Raw genomic sequence first — 15506 nt, 5'->3', positions numbered from 1 at the left:
TGCAACATGTGAATGAACTTTATTGAATCCTGTTTTTTAATCAGCTAGAAAAGACAGTATTGTGGAACTATAAATGTGGACTAGATATTACTTGACAATATAGAAGTGTAATGATAAATGTGGTTATGTAAAAAAAATTCTTACTCTTAAGTGATACATTAAGGGATAAATTGTCATGATGTCTAAAACTTCTTTAAAAATAGCTCAGAAATGCAGACAGATAAATAGATGTGTGTGTATGTGTATATACATATATATACATATATACACATATATATACATATATACATATATACACATATATACACACACATATATACATATATACACATATATACATATATACACACATATATATATGTGTGTGTAAATAGAAACAGAGAGATAGCAAGTGTGGCAAAAACTTAAAGACTTGGTGAATCTAGTAAGGGATATATTGGTATCCATTACATTATTCTTTCAGCTTTTCTGTAAGTTTGAAATTTTTCAAATAAAAAGTTGGAGAGAAAAGTATACACTTAATTTTTCTTACATAAAATCATTAAAAATTAGGAAAATTATAATAGCAAGTTCTAAAGAGAATGCAAATAAATTGCATTTTTATATGTCGTTTGTGGAAGTCAAAACTGGTGCAAACTTTCTGCAGAATAATTAAAAACATGAATTTTTAAAAACTTACAATGATACTATTTGATTCTTAGAATTTACTTAAGCATGTAAATGATGCAAATCACAACATAATTTTAAACTTATTTTATTGATGTGTAATATAAATGCAAGAAATTGGCAAGTTACAGGTATACAGCTTGTCAAATTTTTAGTGAACAAACTCATGTAATCAACATTGAGGTTAAACCATAGACTAGTTCAAGTTTACCTGAAGCCCCCTTTATGTCCTCTTCTAATCAAAACACCTGCCTCAAAGAGATAACAATAAATCTTAACTTCTAATACTATAGATTAGTTTTGTTTGTTATTTTTTTTTGAGACAGGATCTCACTCTGTCACCAGACTGGAGCACAGTGGTGTGATCTGGGCTCACTGCAACCTTTGCCTCTCAGGCTCAAGCCATCCTCCCACCTCAGCCTCTGGAGTAGTTAGGACTATAGGCATGCAACCAGCACATCTGGCTAAATTTTGTGTGTTTTTTTGAAGAGACAGGGTTTTGCCATGTTCCCCCGGCTGATCTCCGACTCCTAAGTTTAAGCGAACCTCCTGCCTCAGCCATCCAAAGCGCTGGGATTACAGCCATGAGCCACTATGCCTGACAATTTTTTTTTTTTTTTTTTACTTTTTAATGTTAAACATTTTACAATTTTTGAAGATTTTAAATTATATAATTTTTGAAAAATAGCAACAACAAAAAGAGCCATATATGGAAATACTTCCTCAACCAAGGGATTGGCTCCCAACTGACTCTCTGTGACACACTGCTTTTGTTGAAATTGTATTGGCATTTTTAGGGAGCACTTTGCAAGTCTGTTTTATGCTATTGTTATGATTCTTTCCACAAATACCCATCGAGTATCTACCATTTGTCAGACACTTATTCTGGGCACTGCAGATACAGCAGTGAACAAACACAGAAATCCCTGCCCGTGTGTAACTTAGCTCACTAACAGATTTAAGTGGCGATGGGAATCCCTAGATCGCCTCCATTTCCCATACACTAGAATTTGTCACAAAGCTGCAAATATACTAAATTTCATACAAAAATAATATAGTTTGTTTATATCTAATCATTTGATCTGATCCCCCATTATGGGTCTCCCCACCTAACTCAGTGGCAAAAAGAAGGACAATTTAATTTTGTCCAACCTGATGTGTTAATCTGATCCAAATATTTAGCAGTCTCTTTAGGTAAATGATCAGTCTCTTTGAATAAAATTCTCTGTGTTTGAGAGTTCAGGCTTTCCCTCTAAGAGAGCTTCAGGGAATATGGGATACATGGAGGAACAATATTCACAATGCTAATATTTAACAACTGGTATTAACTAGAAGAGACTTTTGTCATAAATTACCAGTATGGCCAGACCACGTGTATCAAGTGAATAGCAGTCAGCAGTAAGAGTGCAGCTTACGAGACCTCATGGTGACTGAAAGAAAAGGGGGTCCTCAGATGGACTCATTGTCCTCTGGACCCTCCCTGATATCTCCGTGGCAGAATGGGTCGTCACTTACTTGGTCCTATCTGGCTACTAGAGTGTGTGATTCTGATCATTTGACTCCAGTTTTGATGTTCTCAAACGCTGCAGCCCGTCGGCTGACAAGGACGATGAAGAACAAGTCATCTTCTATTGTGCCATCTTCTTAGGGCCAGAATAGACATGAACCTAAGCTAAGGAATGGAGTTCCCAAGGGGTCTACATTCTCTCTAATGCTGAGCCGCTAACCTCAGTGTCCTCGAACTTCCTCAGGCATATCTGGTTGTTTCTAAACCACCCCCCATCCCATCAAAGTTCAACCCCGGAAGAAGTGTGTGAGGAGGGCTGAGTACATGCCATCTGACCCCTGGATCAGGCTATATATCCTCTCATAATCCATCAAGACTTCTAGCCTTCCTAGCTACAAGGGTCCAGTTGGACAATTTACTGCCTCTCTAGCTTTTCTTTTTCTCCCTACGTCAGCAAGCCTATTGATCTCCCTCCAGAGGTGGAATGGTTATCATCTTTGCCTTGTGAAAGAAACCCTATGACGTGAGTCCTTCAGGCGTGGTCCTTGAAATGCTAAATAAGGAGATAAGGTGATTTAGAAATATCCTCATTTCCTAATCCTTGAGTCTCACAACGGCTGTCTTTGTAAGTGTCTGCATTGAGACTTAAAGCTGATCAATGGACAGATTGTCCTTCAGTCCTTTCCTCAGGTTGGCAAACTTCAAAACTTGGCCCTCAAGGTCAAAGGCCACAGGGAACATGACTTCAGAATGAAATTTTAAAGCATTGCTTTAATATCTGGATGCAAATTTAAAATTTTAGCCTAAAGAGATGGCTATAATTTTTCCCACAGAAGCTATTTCAGTCTTGTCCCATAGCTATATAAATAAATACTGTATCTAAACTTCGTGGAATAATCCAAGAAAACAAACAAAGCAAATTTTCATTTAAAAAATGTATCAAGTTGAAAATGTTATCTATATAATTCTGCTAAAAATCAATTGATTATTTTACCTGAGCAGCAAAGGATAAAACTTACAGATTATTTGCACCTACAAAGCAAATAGCAGCTTAATTAAATTGCCCATCAAAGTCCTTCTAACATAGGAAGCAATGCCACCAATGCTAATAGCAGGTGTGAGACCTGCCTCCACTATCCAAGCCACCGCTTCAACTCACCTCAGGAGGTCAAATTACACAGTGGTCATGTTTCACACTGTCTAGTCAGGCCTGTCAGAAATTCCTGTCTCCTCAGCTCTTAAAAATGAAAACTCTCCATTCTATAAGATGAGCTTTTTATTACTGTTTCATTACATGTCCAGAACAGTGTCCTTTGCTCTTGAAATAGTATGAAGACCTTTCTGACAAGGCAATGATGTGGCAAGTGGCCCGTAAGACCCTGGTGTACTCTCTGGGGACCCATGGCTGAGACAGCAGGCACAAAGTCCCAGATGCTTGTCTGTGTACAACATAATCTGTCTACTTGGAATATCTTCTCTGGAACACAAATGGCTCCTTGGTTTATCATGGCATTTAAACATGAATTTGATGCTACTAAGCCACAATCACTTATCAAATGCAACCATAGGGAAGAAATTTGAAGCCAGCTAGAATTGGAAACTAGAATTTCTGTGGCAACAGAACCCCTTGGGCCTCCTGACTTTCTCAGCAGCTGAATTAGATGTCCTTGCTATTACAGAAATGGATGATTAAGTGGTCTGACATCCCTTTCTTCTCATCTGTTATACTTCTGTAATATGTAGCATCTTACTTATTACACGTCATCTTGTTGTTTTTTTTTCCTTTTTTTGCTATTCTTTTATAGGTTAGTGTTAATGCTTAGCATAAAGATGCCTTTGTTTGTAAGTAACACCAGCAACTGGAACTGAACCAGTAAAGATTTATTGGTTCCTATAATGGAAAATTCCAGTTGTAGTGTTTGGGTTTCAGCAGAGGTCTGATCCAGAAGTTCTCAATGTCAACAAGGCTCTTCCAGGCAGGAGGTATTATTTGTGGTAAAATTTTAATTGTTATCATTATTTCTAGTTTACAGATCAGGTAAACTAAGAATCAAAGACTATAAATGAATTATACAAGGTCAGATAGCAAATAAGCAGCAGATATAACACTCAAGCCTAGATCTTGACACTCCCAACCAATGTTCCTATTGCTCAAATGGATTTTTATATGGTTTTTTTCAGGTTAATTAGATATTCTATTTGATCACTGAGTAATCTAGTAAGAAATCAGCTCACATTTAGCCCTTCATTCAATAAATATTTTTTGGGAACTTACTATGAGCCAGACACTGTATTAGTTATCTTTTGCTGCATAGCAAATAACCTCAAAATGTATTGGCTTAAAGCAACAGTCATCATTTATTATCTCTCATGGTTTCTGTGGATCAGGACACAGTGGGAAAGGCTTGTCTCTGCTCTATGATGTCTGTGGCCTCAAACTAAAGACACAAAGGTCGGGGGTTAGACAATCCCCTTTAAAAGTGGCTCAGTCACTTAGCTAACAAGTTGATGCTGGTTATGTGGTTTGTGTCCATGTAGTTCTCTCCATTGGCTGCTTGAGTATCCTCACAACATGGTAACTGATTTCTCCCAGAATGAAAGATCCAAGAGAGCCAGTTGGAAGCTGCAACATCTTTTGTGACCTAACCTAGGAAGTCATATACCACTGTTTCTATCATATCCTATGGTCACACTGACTAGCACTGATTCAGAGTGAGAGAGGATTTTGTTAAAGGTGTGAAAACCAGGAAGTGAGAATCAATGGGGTCCATCTTAGCTACCACCTGTACTTTTTATAAGTACTGCAGATACACAAAGAAAGCATGTTAAAATCTTTACCTTTATGGAGCTTTTATACCAGTGGAGGGGCTACAAGGGAACAGACAAAAAAACAGACAGTAAGATATATAGTTTGTCACATGGTAATATGTGCTACCAAGAAAAGTAAACTGGGTAAGGTCTAGGATTGCAGCCACACCATAAGCCACCCTTGTATAGATCAGAACAAGGTGTGCTCCTGTGGACCAACAAGTAAGAAAAGTCTCCTCCACTTCCAGGTTGGTCCTGGGAAGGTGTTATGGCCCTGGAAAGCACTGCAAATTCAAATAAATGGTCAGAGAAGTATTCACTTGCCTTGAACAAAAACTTGAATTGCGGGAATAAGCTATGCTGATATTTAGGGAAAGAGATTTCTAGGCCATGGGAGCAGCAGATTCTAAGACCCTGAGACAAGAAACAGGAAGGGACACCAGGAAGCCATCCTATTCAGATGCCTGCACCTCTTTTCAGATATTTTTGAAGCTCAATGAAGCTTAGGAGTATAACTGATGAATATGCATTTATTTCCTTTCTTCTACTTCTTGAACCCAAGTCCAATTCTCTCAAAGCTAAACCCACAACAGCATCCTCATATCTGCTGTGTTCTAGGCCTGATACATAGTAGGTTCTCCAAAATGGCTTATAATTGATGATAGTTTTGTTTCTTCTGTAGACAAGCAATAAAGTGCATATTTTATCAGTGGATATTCAATATTTAACACAAAAAAGTGGGGCAAACACACAAAAAATTTTCAAACCACATTAGGATTTCAATGATCTATTCCCAGAGGCCATCTTGATTTGGGGGCATGGCCACAATATTATAATAAAGAGCCAGCAAGCTAGTACAATTAAAACTATACTTTTATAACAATACAGATCAATTCTGTGGACTAAGCATACTATTTCATAAGAATAATTACCAGGGTTGTAAAAATCACATGAAACAACGTATATAAACGTACTTTGCATATTGTGAAGCATTATAGGAGAGTTACATATTATTACTGTTGTTCATATCAGTGGACTAATAGAACATCACAATTTTTCCTGAGAAATACTAAGTGGTGTTATGGTGAAAGACCGTCAGACTGAGACACCTGGATCGTATTCCCAGCTCTGGTGGTCATAAGCTGTGTGTTTCAAATAATTCAAAATACCTCTCAGTGACTTCTTTTCCTGTAAGTAAAATGAGACCTACTAGACACACTCCTCAGCCTTTAGGGCTTTTTTCTCCCTTATGGAACACAGTGTCCTGGACATTGGCAAAGATTAATACCATTTTGCAAGGGCAGAAGACCTTGCTGAGATTTTTTGAAAGTCTTCCCTGTGGCAGCCATGTTATGGGCTGCCCTTGTCCACAGACTGATTCAGGTTCTGTCTTCAAGCAGTTGGGGGCGCTGGAAGAACTGCTAAGATGCTTCAGCGCTAAAGTTCGGCGTATTCATTCTCAATTGTAATTACATACTGGGAGCATGTGTGTTTAACATAAAATCTGTTCAACAATCCTCACAAATGGCAGAAATGATTGCTTTGTAAACGGGAGGGTCCAAAGTCCTACGCAAGCACATCTTCGCTTGGAACTCTATTTGTGGCCTGGCATCCCTCTCTTTGGAATGCTGAAGTAATTATTTAGCCGCTACTGCCCACTTCTTGGATCCCATATCAGCGAACAAACCAGCTGCCTTTCATGTAAGAGTATTTAAAGAATTCGTAGCTAATTACCCTGAGTGTTTCCGGAGAATCTTGGTCGCTGGCACGATGCTAGATTGTTCCGTTTCAGCGACTCTCTTTACAGGTGGTGGATGTCAGAATGGCTGGATTGACATAAGCAGTAACCAAGCACTGGCCCACCTGAATTTTGACAGACTATTCATTTCACGTCATCTTTGACTGTGAAAGACAAGGTTTTTTCAGATCAAACATCCCTGCCCCACAGAGGGGGCATTAGCTCTGTGTTCCAGGTCTCCTAGCAACTGACCTGCATTTACACGCCGTCCAGCACAGTTTAAACATCAACACCAGCTTGTATTTCCATCCCTCACCCAGTTACACACTTCACAACATCAACTCGAGGGAATAATTTACCATAATTTTGTCTCTTCAGAACATTTACCTCACAATTGTACTCCAGGCAGCATTTGCATCCTCTTTTTACTTTTGACAAATTTATGATGCAGAGGTGCAGTAAGAAAAAAAAATTATCCTTCCCTTTTAAGGGGTAAAGAAATTGGACTGTCCTCTGTAACGTTCTTTTTACACCCACAGTTGTCAGAAGCCAATAAGTTGTTTACCAATTGCAAAGATTCATCAGTTTTATTTTATACTATGGAAGTATCTAATTCATGAAGGAGCAATCCTCAACACAACACCAAAACTATGGGATATTGCAGGAAAAAAAAAATTGCACAACAAATTTGCAGACAAAGCTGCAGTTAGGAATGGGAAAGAGGAGTGGAGAGAAAGGGGGCACATATTTTCAGAAAACCATAGAAAAATAGTATACCTAAAGAGAAACAACACTCTTGCTTTTTAAAAGAACTTAATTTTGCTTGTAGAATCACAGAATTATAGCAAAAAAAAAAAAAAAGGTTCTTGTTAAGGGTATCAAATCTTCTCATTTAAGAAAAAAAGTACTGAGGCCATCTCACTTACATGTTTGCACAAAATTGCATAATTAATTAGTCGCAAAGCGAAGTCTCCAACCTAATGTCAAGCTTCATACTTTAGTTTTTGAACTACACAACGCTGCCTTTCTGTAGTTTTCTATAGTTTTGCATCTCCTCTCCCTAAACTGATAGTGTAAAGAAAAAATAAGCAGCCACACTAGTGTATATAAGCAAAGCATTCCACTCTTTTTACAGTAGATAAATTTGTGAAAACTTGACAAATTTATAAAATGAGCAATGTTCAATTATTATTTTATATATTTTTTGATGTGATAACTATATACTTGAGAAATTCAAAAGGTGACGTAGAGTTGACCCTTTGGCAAATATTTTAAGGATGCCATTTCAGAAAGGTATTAACAAACACAGCTTCAAATAACGAAGCACATTTTAAAGCCACAAACGTTTTTCTAGAGAGAGAATCAAAATTAAAACCGTGCTGCTAGTTGTCTTTTAGGGACTGTGTTAACACGTCAGGCCACATGATGGCAGTGTTCCTCGATAAATGAACCCGGAAGAACAGCTGCAGTATCCTGGGGAAAAAAAAAAAATCCAAGCCAATGCGGATAAAACGTGATCCAGGTTAAACCACAAATATGGATTTTAAAAATTTTGTTTTAATCCACGTAAACCATATCTTTCCTGATCATATTTTCCTACAATGAATTTCTCTACTGAGAATTTGCTATTGGTTTATGATTTCATAAAATAAATTTCAATATGTATCTAACAAATACATAAATTAAACATTGTTTGGAGGAGGAGTGGGTTGTCCCTTTATTGTTTGTTTTTGCTACAATGGTATTAAGAAGAACATTCAAAATAATAAGCTAAAAATGTTTCATACCATGTGTCTCCAGATTCTTTACAGACCGTTGTCTTATGAGTCTCTGTCTTTGGGTGTGGGAAAGCAAGACAAGCTTGCTTCTCATGCTCACAATTTTTCTCCTAGGCTGAAAATATTCCCTATAAGACCAGAGTGTGATTTCCTGAGTCCTTTCTAAAAAGGCGTGAAGCCACAGATGGAGGTTAAAGCAGCAGCTACTGTCAGTCAAGGCCCCAGGCAAGACTGTGAAATCAAAGATATTGTTCCCGTTTCCCAGCCCTGGTCTTTTCTAGTGTCTGTAGCTGCCCCTTGATTGCTCCAGGGGGTAAAAGAGCTAGGCTTGTCCTCTAGATCTTCCTTCCATTTCTTGATTTCTCATAGGTGAATTTTGTATTTTAAACATGGGCTGTGAGCTTTCTATAAATTTTTTTTTAAATATAAAAAAGAATGTCAGTCACCTGCAAGAGAATATTTTGGGACAAGCATGCAATACGCACCTACCTCACACAGCTAACAGCCTTGGCTGAAAGCTATCCGATGACTCTGGGCTGGGCTGGAAGCCTTGCCGCTGCATACCACAATTTGAACACTATTGACTGAGTTATTATTAGGTGTCTGACACTGTGATAGGTGTAGTAGGGACCGACAGATGTGTAGGATTCAGCCCCAATCTCAAGAACTTATAGACGAATGAAATTAGACCATACTGGTTATACAATAAGGCAGACCAGAATCTACTGTGCCAGAAATACGAAACACAGGGAGCTGGCATTATAAAAAGGAAAGATCACACCATTCGGTTTGAGGAATCAAGAAAGATTTCACAGAGGAAATGGTATTTGAAATAGGATCTTGGGATCTTGATATATAGAGACCGAAAAGTTCAGGTGATTTGATTTCTTTGTTTACACTGTGATGCCATTTAGGAAGGCACCCCATAAATCTTAACTAAGTAAAGATTCTTCACAACCTTGCCAGCTCATGGCAAGGATTAGAGATGGGGGAGAGAATGGCCATCTAATTTTACTAAAAGATAAAGAATATGAGCAGGAAAAATAGAAGATGACACTGGAATACATGATTTGGTTTTATAAAGACAGAAGACCTTGAATGCAAGTAGAGCAATTTAGCTATTAAATAAATTCAAGGCCGGGCACGGTGGCTCATGCCTGTAATCTCAGCACTTTGGGAAGCTGAGGTGGGTGGATCACCTGAGGTCAGGAGTTTGAGACCAGCCTGGCCAACATGGTGAAACCCCATCTCTACTAAAAATACAAAACTTAGCCAGGTGTGGTGGCACGCACCTGTAGTCCCAGCTACTCGGGAGGCTGAGGCAGGAGAATTGCTTGAACCTGGGAAGTGGAGGTTGCAGTGAGCCAAGATTGAGCCACTGCACTCCAGCCTGGGTGACAAAGCCAGTCTCCATCTCAAAAAATAATTAATTAATTAAATTCAACCTGCAATGGGGAGTCACTGACCACTGCCAATATTCTAGGTTGTGATTTTACTTCTAAATTCTACATCCAGGTGGGCGTGGGGAGGGACTATGTAAGGAAAGATGGTCATTGGCTATAGTGTAGTGAGTGTATAGTATATGACCCTACCTATTCTATTGACAGCCTGGATTATGACAGCACTTCTCAAATTTTTCGGTACTTCAGAGTCCTCTGGTGGGCTTGTTACAACACAGACTGCTGGGTCACACCTGACAGAGTATGAGTGAGATCTGAGTTCTTGTTAAATGCCAGTGTTGCTGGTCTAGGCACTATACATAAAAAACAGCTTGTCTATAGGCTCTACAGAACATTTGCCAGGGTATAGAAAGCCACCTCATCCTAAGGATCATATTGCAAAAGTATCTCCTGAATCCCTCCTCCTTAATTACTGTTTCTAAATCTCAATGATCAGTAACATCAGATAATTTTTACCTTAACTACATGCCTATTTGGGGTAAAACCATTTTACTGTTGAAAACATGGTATGCATAATGATATAAAAACTAATTTTTAGATGAGGCATGGTGGCTCATGCCATAATTCCAGCACTTTGGAAAGCTGAGGCAGGACTGCTTGAGCCCCAAGAGTTCATGACCAGCCTAGACAACATGGTGACACCCATCTCTAAAAAAAATTTTTTTTTAAATTAGCCTGGCATGGTGGCATGTGCCCGTAGTTTCAGCTACTCACGAGGCTGAGGTAGAAGGATTGCTTGAGCCCAGGAGGTTAAGGCTGCAGTGAGCCGTGATTGCACCACTGCACTCCAGCCTGGATGACAGAATGAGACCCTGTCTCAAAAAGAAAAACAAAAACTAAGTTTTAAAATAGGATTTTAAACTGCACATTCTGCAATCATAACCAGGTGTCCAGTTGTCAGGGTCTGGAATAACTTAAAAGATATGTACAAAAACAGAGATATAAAAAAAACAAATTGATAAGTGAGCAAGATCCCTTTTGGTAAATTTTGGTTCTTTAAAAAATCAAAGCACACAAGTTATTATCAACTGCTACAGTCCATGTATATCCTATTTTTATATTTGACCTCCCCAAAAGGAAAATATAAATAGCCAAGAAAAATAAATGTGTAAAATGGCAGAGACAATTATTAAACTGAATGTTCAAGAAAAGGAAAAGACTAAAGTTCAGCACATATGCATATTCGCTAATTTGAAGTCAGAAAAGTCTTTCGACCTGATTTAATGTGATCTTCATGTGATCTATAGTCTGGGCCAGATCAAGTAAGGGTGCGCCCCAACTTTTAGCAAATACCACACATAAAAATCTAGCTTTACAGAAAAGATCGAGATTCATTGAATGTTAAGGCTGAAAGAGTTCTGGAGGTAACTTATGGCTTTATTTTCAGTTAAGGAAGGTGAAGCCTAAAGATTAAGAAATGTCCCCAAAGCCATCCGGTTCCTTCTTTCCATCCCCCTTCTGACCTAACTCCACAGCCAGTGAGTAAATCCTCTTCCCTGCTCTCATTTTCCACACCATTCGTGGGTAAAGACCACAGGGCGGCATTGGCTTAAATCAGGCCTGGAGTCCCTGACCATTGTTCCCCATCTGTTGGTTCTGTCTCTCCAGCAATGATTGCAAATGCCTCAAAAACAGGAACCGCTTCTTCAATCCTCTCCTGAATTCCCTATGGATACATGAAGAGGCTGATTATTCCGTTGATTAAAAAAAAAAAAAAAGGAATCTCCAAATTACAAAAGCATTCACAATGGCATCTGTATTCTATAGGCTCTTTCAGGTTGCAAGAGCAAGGGAGACCAATCGTGCTTCCCTCATTAATGGGGATTTATTGTAAGGACAAACAGTACGAGGTCTAGCAGCTGCACACCCAGCCAGGCTCCGCTGGGAACTCATCACTGCTTGTTATTGTCCTGGATAAACCTGTGGCTCTCACAGCCAGGCAGCTGCTCTCCTGACTTAACTGCTTACCCTCTCTGTGCCTTGGGTCCTTCACGTCTAAAATGGAGATAATAATAATACCTCATTGGGTTCTTGTGAGGATTAACTAAGTTGACATGTGTAAAGCCCTTACAAGGGTATCTAGGGCATAGTAAATGCTAGAAGATGTTAGCTATCATGATTAATTCAGTGCAATCCGACAGGTCTCCTTGAATGGGAAAGCTCTGACTCCTCTGACGGATAGAGGTGAGAAATTCCCTTTTTGTCTTCTTTGAGAATTTGACTTTTTTTCTCTCCTAGTTTCTGCTCATTAGGATCATTACTTCCCTGGTGGAGAAAATCAGCTCACTGCCCGTCCCTTCAGAAAAGATATTAGGAGCTACCGACTCCATGGAAACTTGCCACTGGTGAGCAATCATTTATTCTACTGCCAAACTGCTGGAGCGTGGAGAGAGGAAATAGAGGATTTAGCAGTTTGGTTTCCTTGTACTGAGACAGTTTGATTTTTCTCTACAAGTTTTGGCAAATCTTAACTATAGCATGCCTAAATTATGCAAACACCGTGGGATGGGAAGTGCACGTTTCTGGGTGGACCAGAGCTGAAATGTTATACATAGACCTGTGTTGCTCCTGAGGAGTGCTCCTTGGGGCTAGCTGCAAATCCAGCTGAGGTTAACCGCGTTTTATCATACTGCAAAGAAGCTCCCTTGTAGTTAACCCTGCTGTGGAATTCAGAGCCTGTCCTGAGCCTTTTTGCTTGAGGCTATGCACGTGGACCTTGGCAGAGCATCATTAAAACCCCTATTAGTGAGAGTAGACTGCTTTTCCCTGTGAGGAAAAGTATTACATTGCAGTAAAATGCAAATCCACTAACAGGCAACTGCAGATTTATAGCACTGCAGTTCCACAGGAATCACAGGGAGATAGAACCTTGTTTCCCCCGGCAGATTGGAGTTACTAGTGTGTACAAATTGCCCAGAATTCCACACAGGACCAGGTACATAATTTGCAGGGCCCAGTGCAAAATGTTCAAATATTATTGAGATTTGTTCAAATAGTATTGAGATTTTCAAGATGGCGGCAACAGATCATTCGTCTAAGCATCTGGTCATTCTGAACACAGGGTCCTGTGCTACTGCCCAGATTCTATGTGTCATTGAAAAATGGCACTTTCAATTTTGGACACATTTTTGGGGAAAGAATGTAAGTGCAGATATAAACCTTGTTAACCCAATTCCTTCAGCCTGGGGACACCCACACATTGGTAGATAATCAAAATGGCATGAGCTACTGAGCCCCCACCTAGTGTCATTATTGATATTGTAAGTCCCCTCCCACCACCACACACACCCACTGACCTCCTTTTGCTGTGAGTATGAGGACACTCACACTCCTCCTCTGATCCTTATGTTTTTTTGCTTTGTATTCAGTAAGAAATGGAATAGCACAATACTTAAGCGTATAGACTCAATACTACTAGTAGTTGTGCACCCTTGGGCAAGTTATTTAACCTCTGTGTGGCTCGGTTTCTTCATCTGTTAAAAAAAGCAGATAATAATAGTACCTGCCTAAGAAAGCATAGTGTTAGCACACATAAAATACTTAGCATTGTCCCTGGCACATGGCAAATGCTCTGGAGGTGTTAGCTGGTATTAACCTGCTACCTTTGCCCCAGCTGCAGTCAACTCCACTGTTGCCACCACTGCTGTCCTCTAAAGTCCTAATGTTCATGTAAGGGCATTCCTTTATGAGAAAAGAGGGCATTAAGCTAGGACCTCAATTAAGGGCCAAAATTAGACAATTATTGTTTATTTCCAAATGAGTTTAGATACATACTGTCACAGAAGTACACTGACAGTGTTGGAAGAGCCTTCAACTCTCATACAAATATAATTGCTAATAGGTGTAAACATTTTAACTACAACAGAAACCTATTTTGACATGTCTTCATTTTAAAATATACCTGGAGTCTGGAAAAATAGAGGTGGCCTTAGCAGTGTGGAAGGTCCCTGAAGCAACCACTCTTGATCATCCTCATTTTTCCTTTAATTATAAGGGCAAGAACAGAATTCACATTGTTTTGCAAATGAGGAAGCGTGCAGGAAAGAGGACAATAGCAATGGCCCTGGAGCTCTGGGGAAGCAAACCTGACTCAGACACCAACTCTGTTTTCCATGGGGCAAGCCACATCATTTGAAGGGGACGTGCGTCTTTTTTCCTGTAGAATGCAGTTCATAATGAGGGTCCTCCCTAGGTCATGGTGCTGCTGGCAATTGTGCAGGATATGGACATTAGAAAACACACTTAGAAATGAGCCAAGGGGACAGAAAAATGAGAAACATTTTGAGGAAGCAAACAAGAACGAAATCAATATGGCATCAACTAAATCATTTCAGGCATCAAGGATGACTGAAAATGGAAATATGGAATAAAGTAGGAGTTGAATTTAGGGCTCTGAAGGAAAACAAAGTAAAAGTTAAACTTACTTTGTAAACAGGGAACCACCCGGAGAGTTATTATGTTAATTTCTTTCTCTTCTTTGGTGGTGGCTTAAAAGAATTTTGAATAAAACATGTAAGTATCTTTCCTAATGGGGGGAAAAAAGAAAACCCTACCTTTCATTTCAAATGAGTTAATGGATGGGACAGTGCCTTGAAAAGTCCTATTATGAAACCAGCCAGAGCATTATCAGCCTTTCTTCTTAGATTCAGTCGCCACAGCTGCCAGGCCTGTCCAAACAGCAAACAGGAAATGAGAAAGGATCTGACACCACAGCTTCAGAGAGTTCTTACCGACCTCCTGGAGGTGTGGGGGCGGACAGAGAATCTTGAGCAAATATGTGTACTTTCCACTTTATTGATAAAAATATACTTTTATTGCACAAGATTTATCAAAGTGGCCCTGTCTACAAGTGTTTGTTCATTCTTTTAAAACATTTTTAATGGAAAAATTGCATTTTATTTGCTTAGATCTATGGATTAAGAGTTTTTTTTAAAAAAAGCATAAAAGTTCCTATTGCAGCAAATGATCAAAGAGAGCTGATTTCCTCCCATAGCTGTTCCTTCAGGTGTTTTTTATTCTGAAAGGTTATTTTCCTCTTCTTTTCAAAATGGTGCTCAGAATGAAAAGGCAATCTGTATTTAAATGTTTGCTTTATATTTCCTTTGTTATTCAAGAAATTGTGTGTGCCTGGACATTTAGTGTTCACATTACACTTATAAGAAAACTGGAACAAGTACTCTGAAACTGTATATCTGTAATTTGGGAGAATGTGTTTAAATTTAAAAAATAAAACTTTTTCCAGGAAGAGGCTCTATGCACAGTATCAGGATGGGGCTACTCCATTCAGAATCTGTTGCCATGGTGACCGACCTGGGAGCCTCGTGGGCTCTGTACAGGAGGCATGTGTGGTAATTATATAAGCTGAAGTGCTGTTGAATAACCCCAGGAAGGCAGGACTGCCACAGTGCAATTTCTCGGAAACCACTATTTAAAAATTCATACATCATAATGCCTTCTTCTTTTATATGAAAATCCGCCATTTAAGTATTTTTCTTACATCAATCTGATAAGACTGATATAACGGAAAATAGAACTTACTCAATTCTGAG

The 15506-nt window shown here is 39.1% G+C and overlaps 1 protein-coding gene and 1 long non-coding RNA gene across 4 annotated transcripts in view, besides 2 other annotated features; both read right to left on the bottom strand.

Annotated features, from left to right (window-relative positions):
- The window catches only part of ASB4 (ankyrin repeat and SOCS box containing 4), an 80662-nt gene extending 66002 nt beyond the window's left edge, over positions 1-14660 (bottom strand). Inside the window, exon 1 of the mRNA XM_047420471.1 lies at positions 14511-14660. Coding sequence (XP_047276427.1) covers positions 14511-14517 — 7 coding nt within the window. The 5' untranslated portion in view covers positions 14518-14660. The remainder of the gene's footprint in view (positions 1-14510) is intronic.
- Positions 11314-14504, bottom strand: LOC107986823 (uncharacterized). Of its 3 annotated transcripts, none has more exons than XR_001745284.3 (3): positions 13859-14504; positions 13254-13430; positions 11314-11623 (listed from the first exon to the last, which is right to left on the bottom strand). It is a non-coding gene; the product is annotated as an uncharacterized LOC107986823 (long non-coding RNA). The 3 variants fall into 3 exon arrangements; XR_001745285.2 differs by having other exon boundaries at positions 13254-13938; positions 14043-14504; XR_001745286.2 differs by having other exon boundaries at positions 13254-14161; positions 14382-14504.
- Positions 13667-14866: an enhancer, noted in NCBI's record as "CDK7 strongly-dependent group 2 enhancer chr7:95099762-95100961 (GRCh37/hg19 assembly coordinates)". NCBI's record gives its function as "activates an origin of replication core promoter dependent on BRD2, BRD4, P300/CBP, MED14 and CDK7 cofactors, with strong dependence on CDK7, by STARR-seq in HCT116 cells {active_cell/tissue: HCT116}" and the evidence as "EXISTENCE:reporter gene assay evidence [ECO:0000049][PMID:35650434]".
- Positions 14709-14758: an enhancer, noted in NCBI's record as "active region_26293". NCBI's record gives its function as "activates an Ori minimal core promoter by ATAC-STARR-seq in GM12878 lymphoblastoid cells {active_cell/tissue: GM12878}" and the evidence as "EXISTENCE:reporter gene assay evidence [ECO:0000049][PMID:35858748]".

Source organism: Homo sapiens, chromosome 7 (genome assembly GCF_000001405.40).
Source record: "Homo sapiens chromosome 7, GRCh38.p14 Primary Assembly".
NCBI lineage: Eukaryota > Metazoa > Chordata > Mammalia > Primates > Hominidae > Homo > Homo sapiens.
This window is presented reverse-complemented; position numbering and strand designations above follow the sequence as displayed.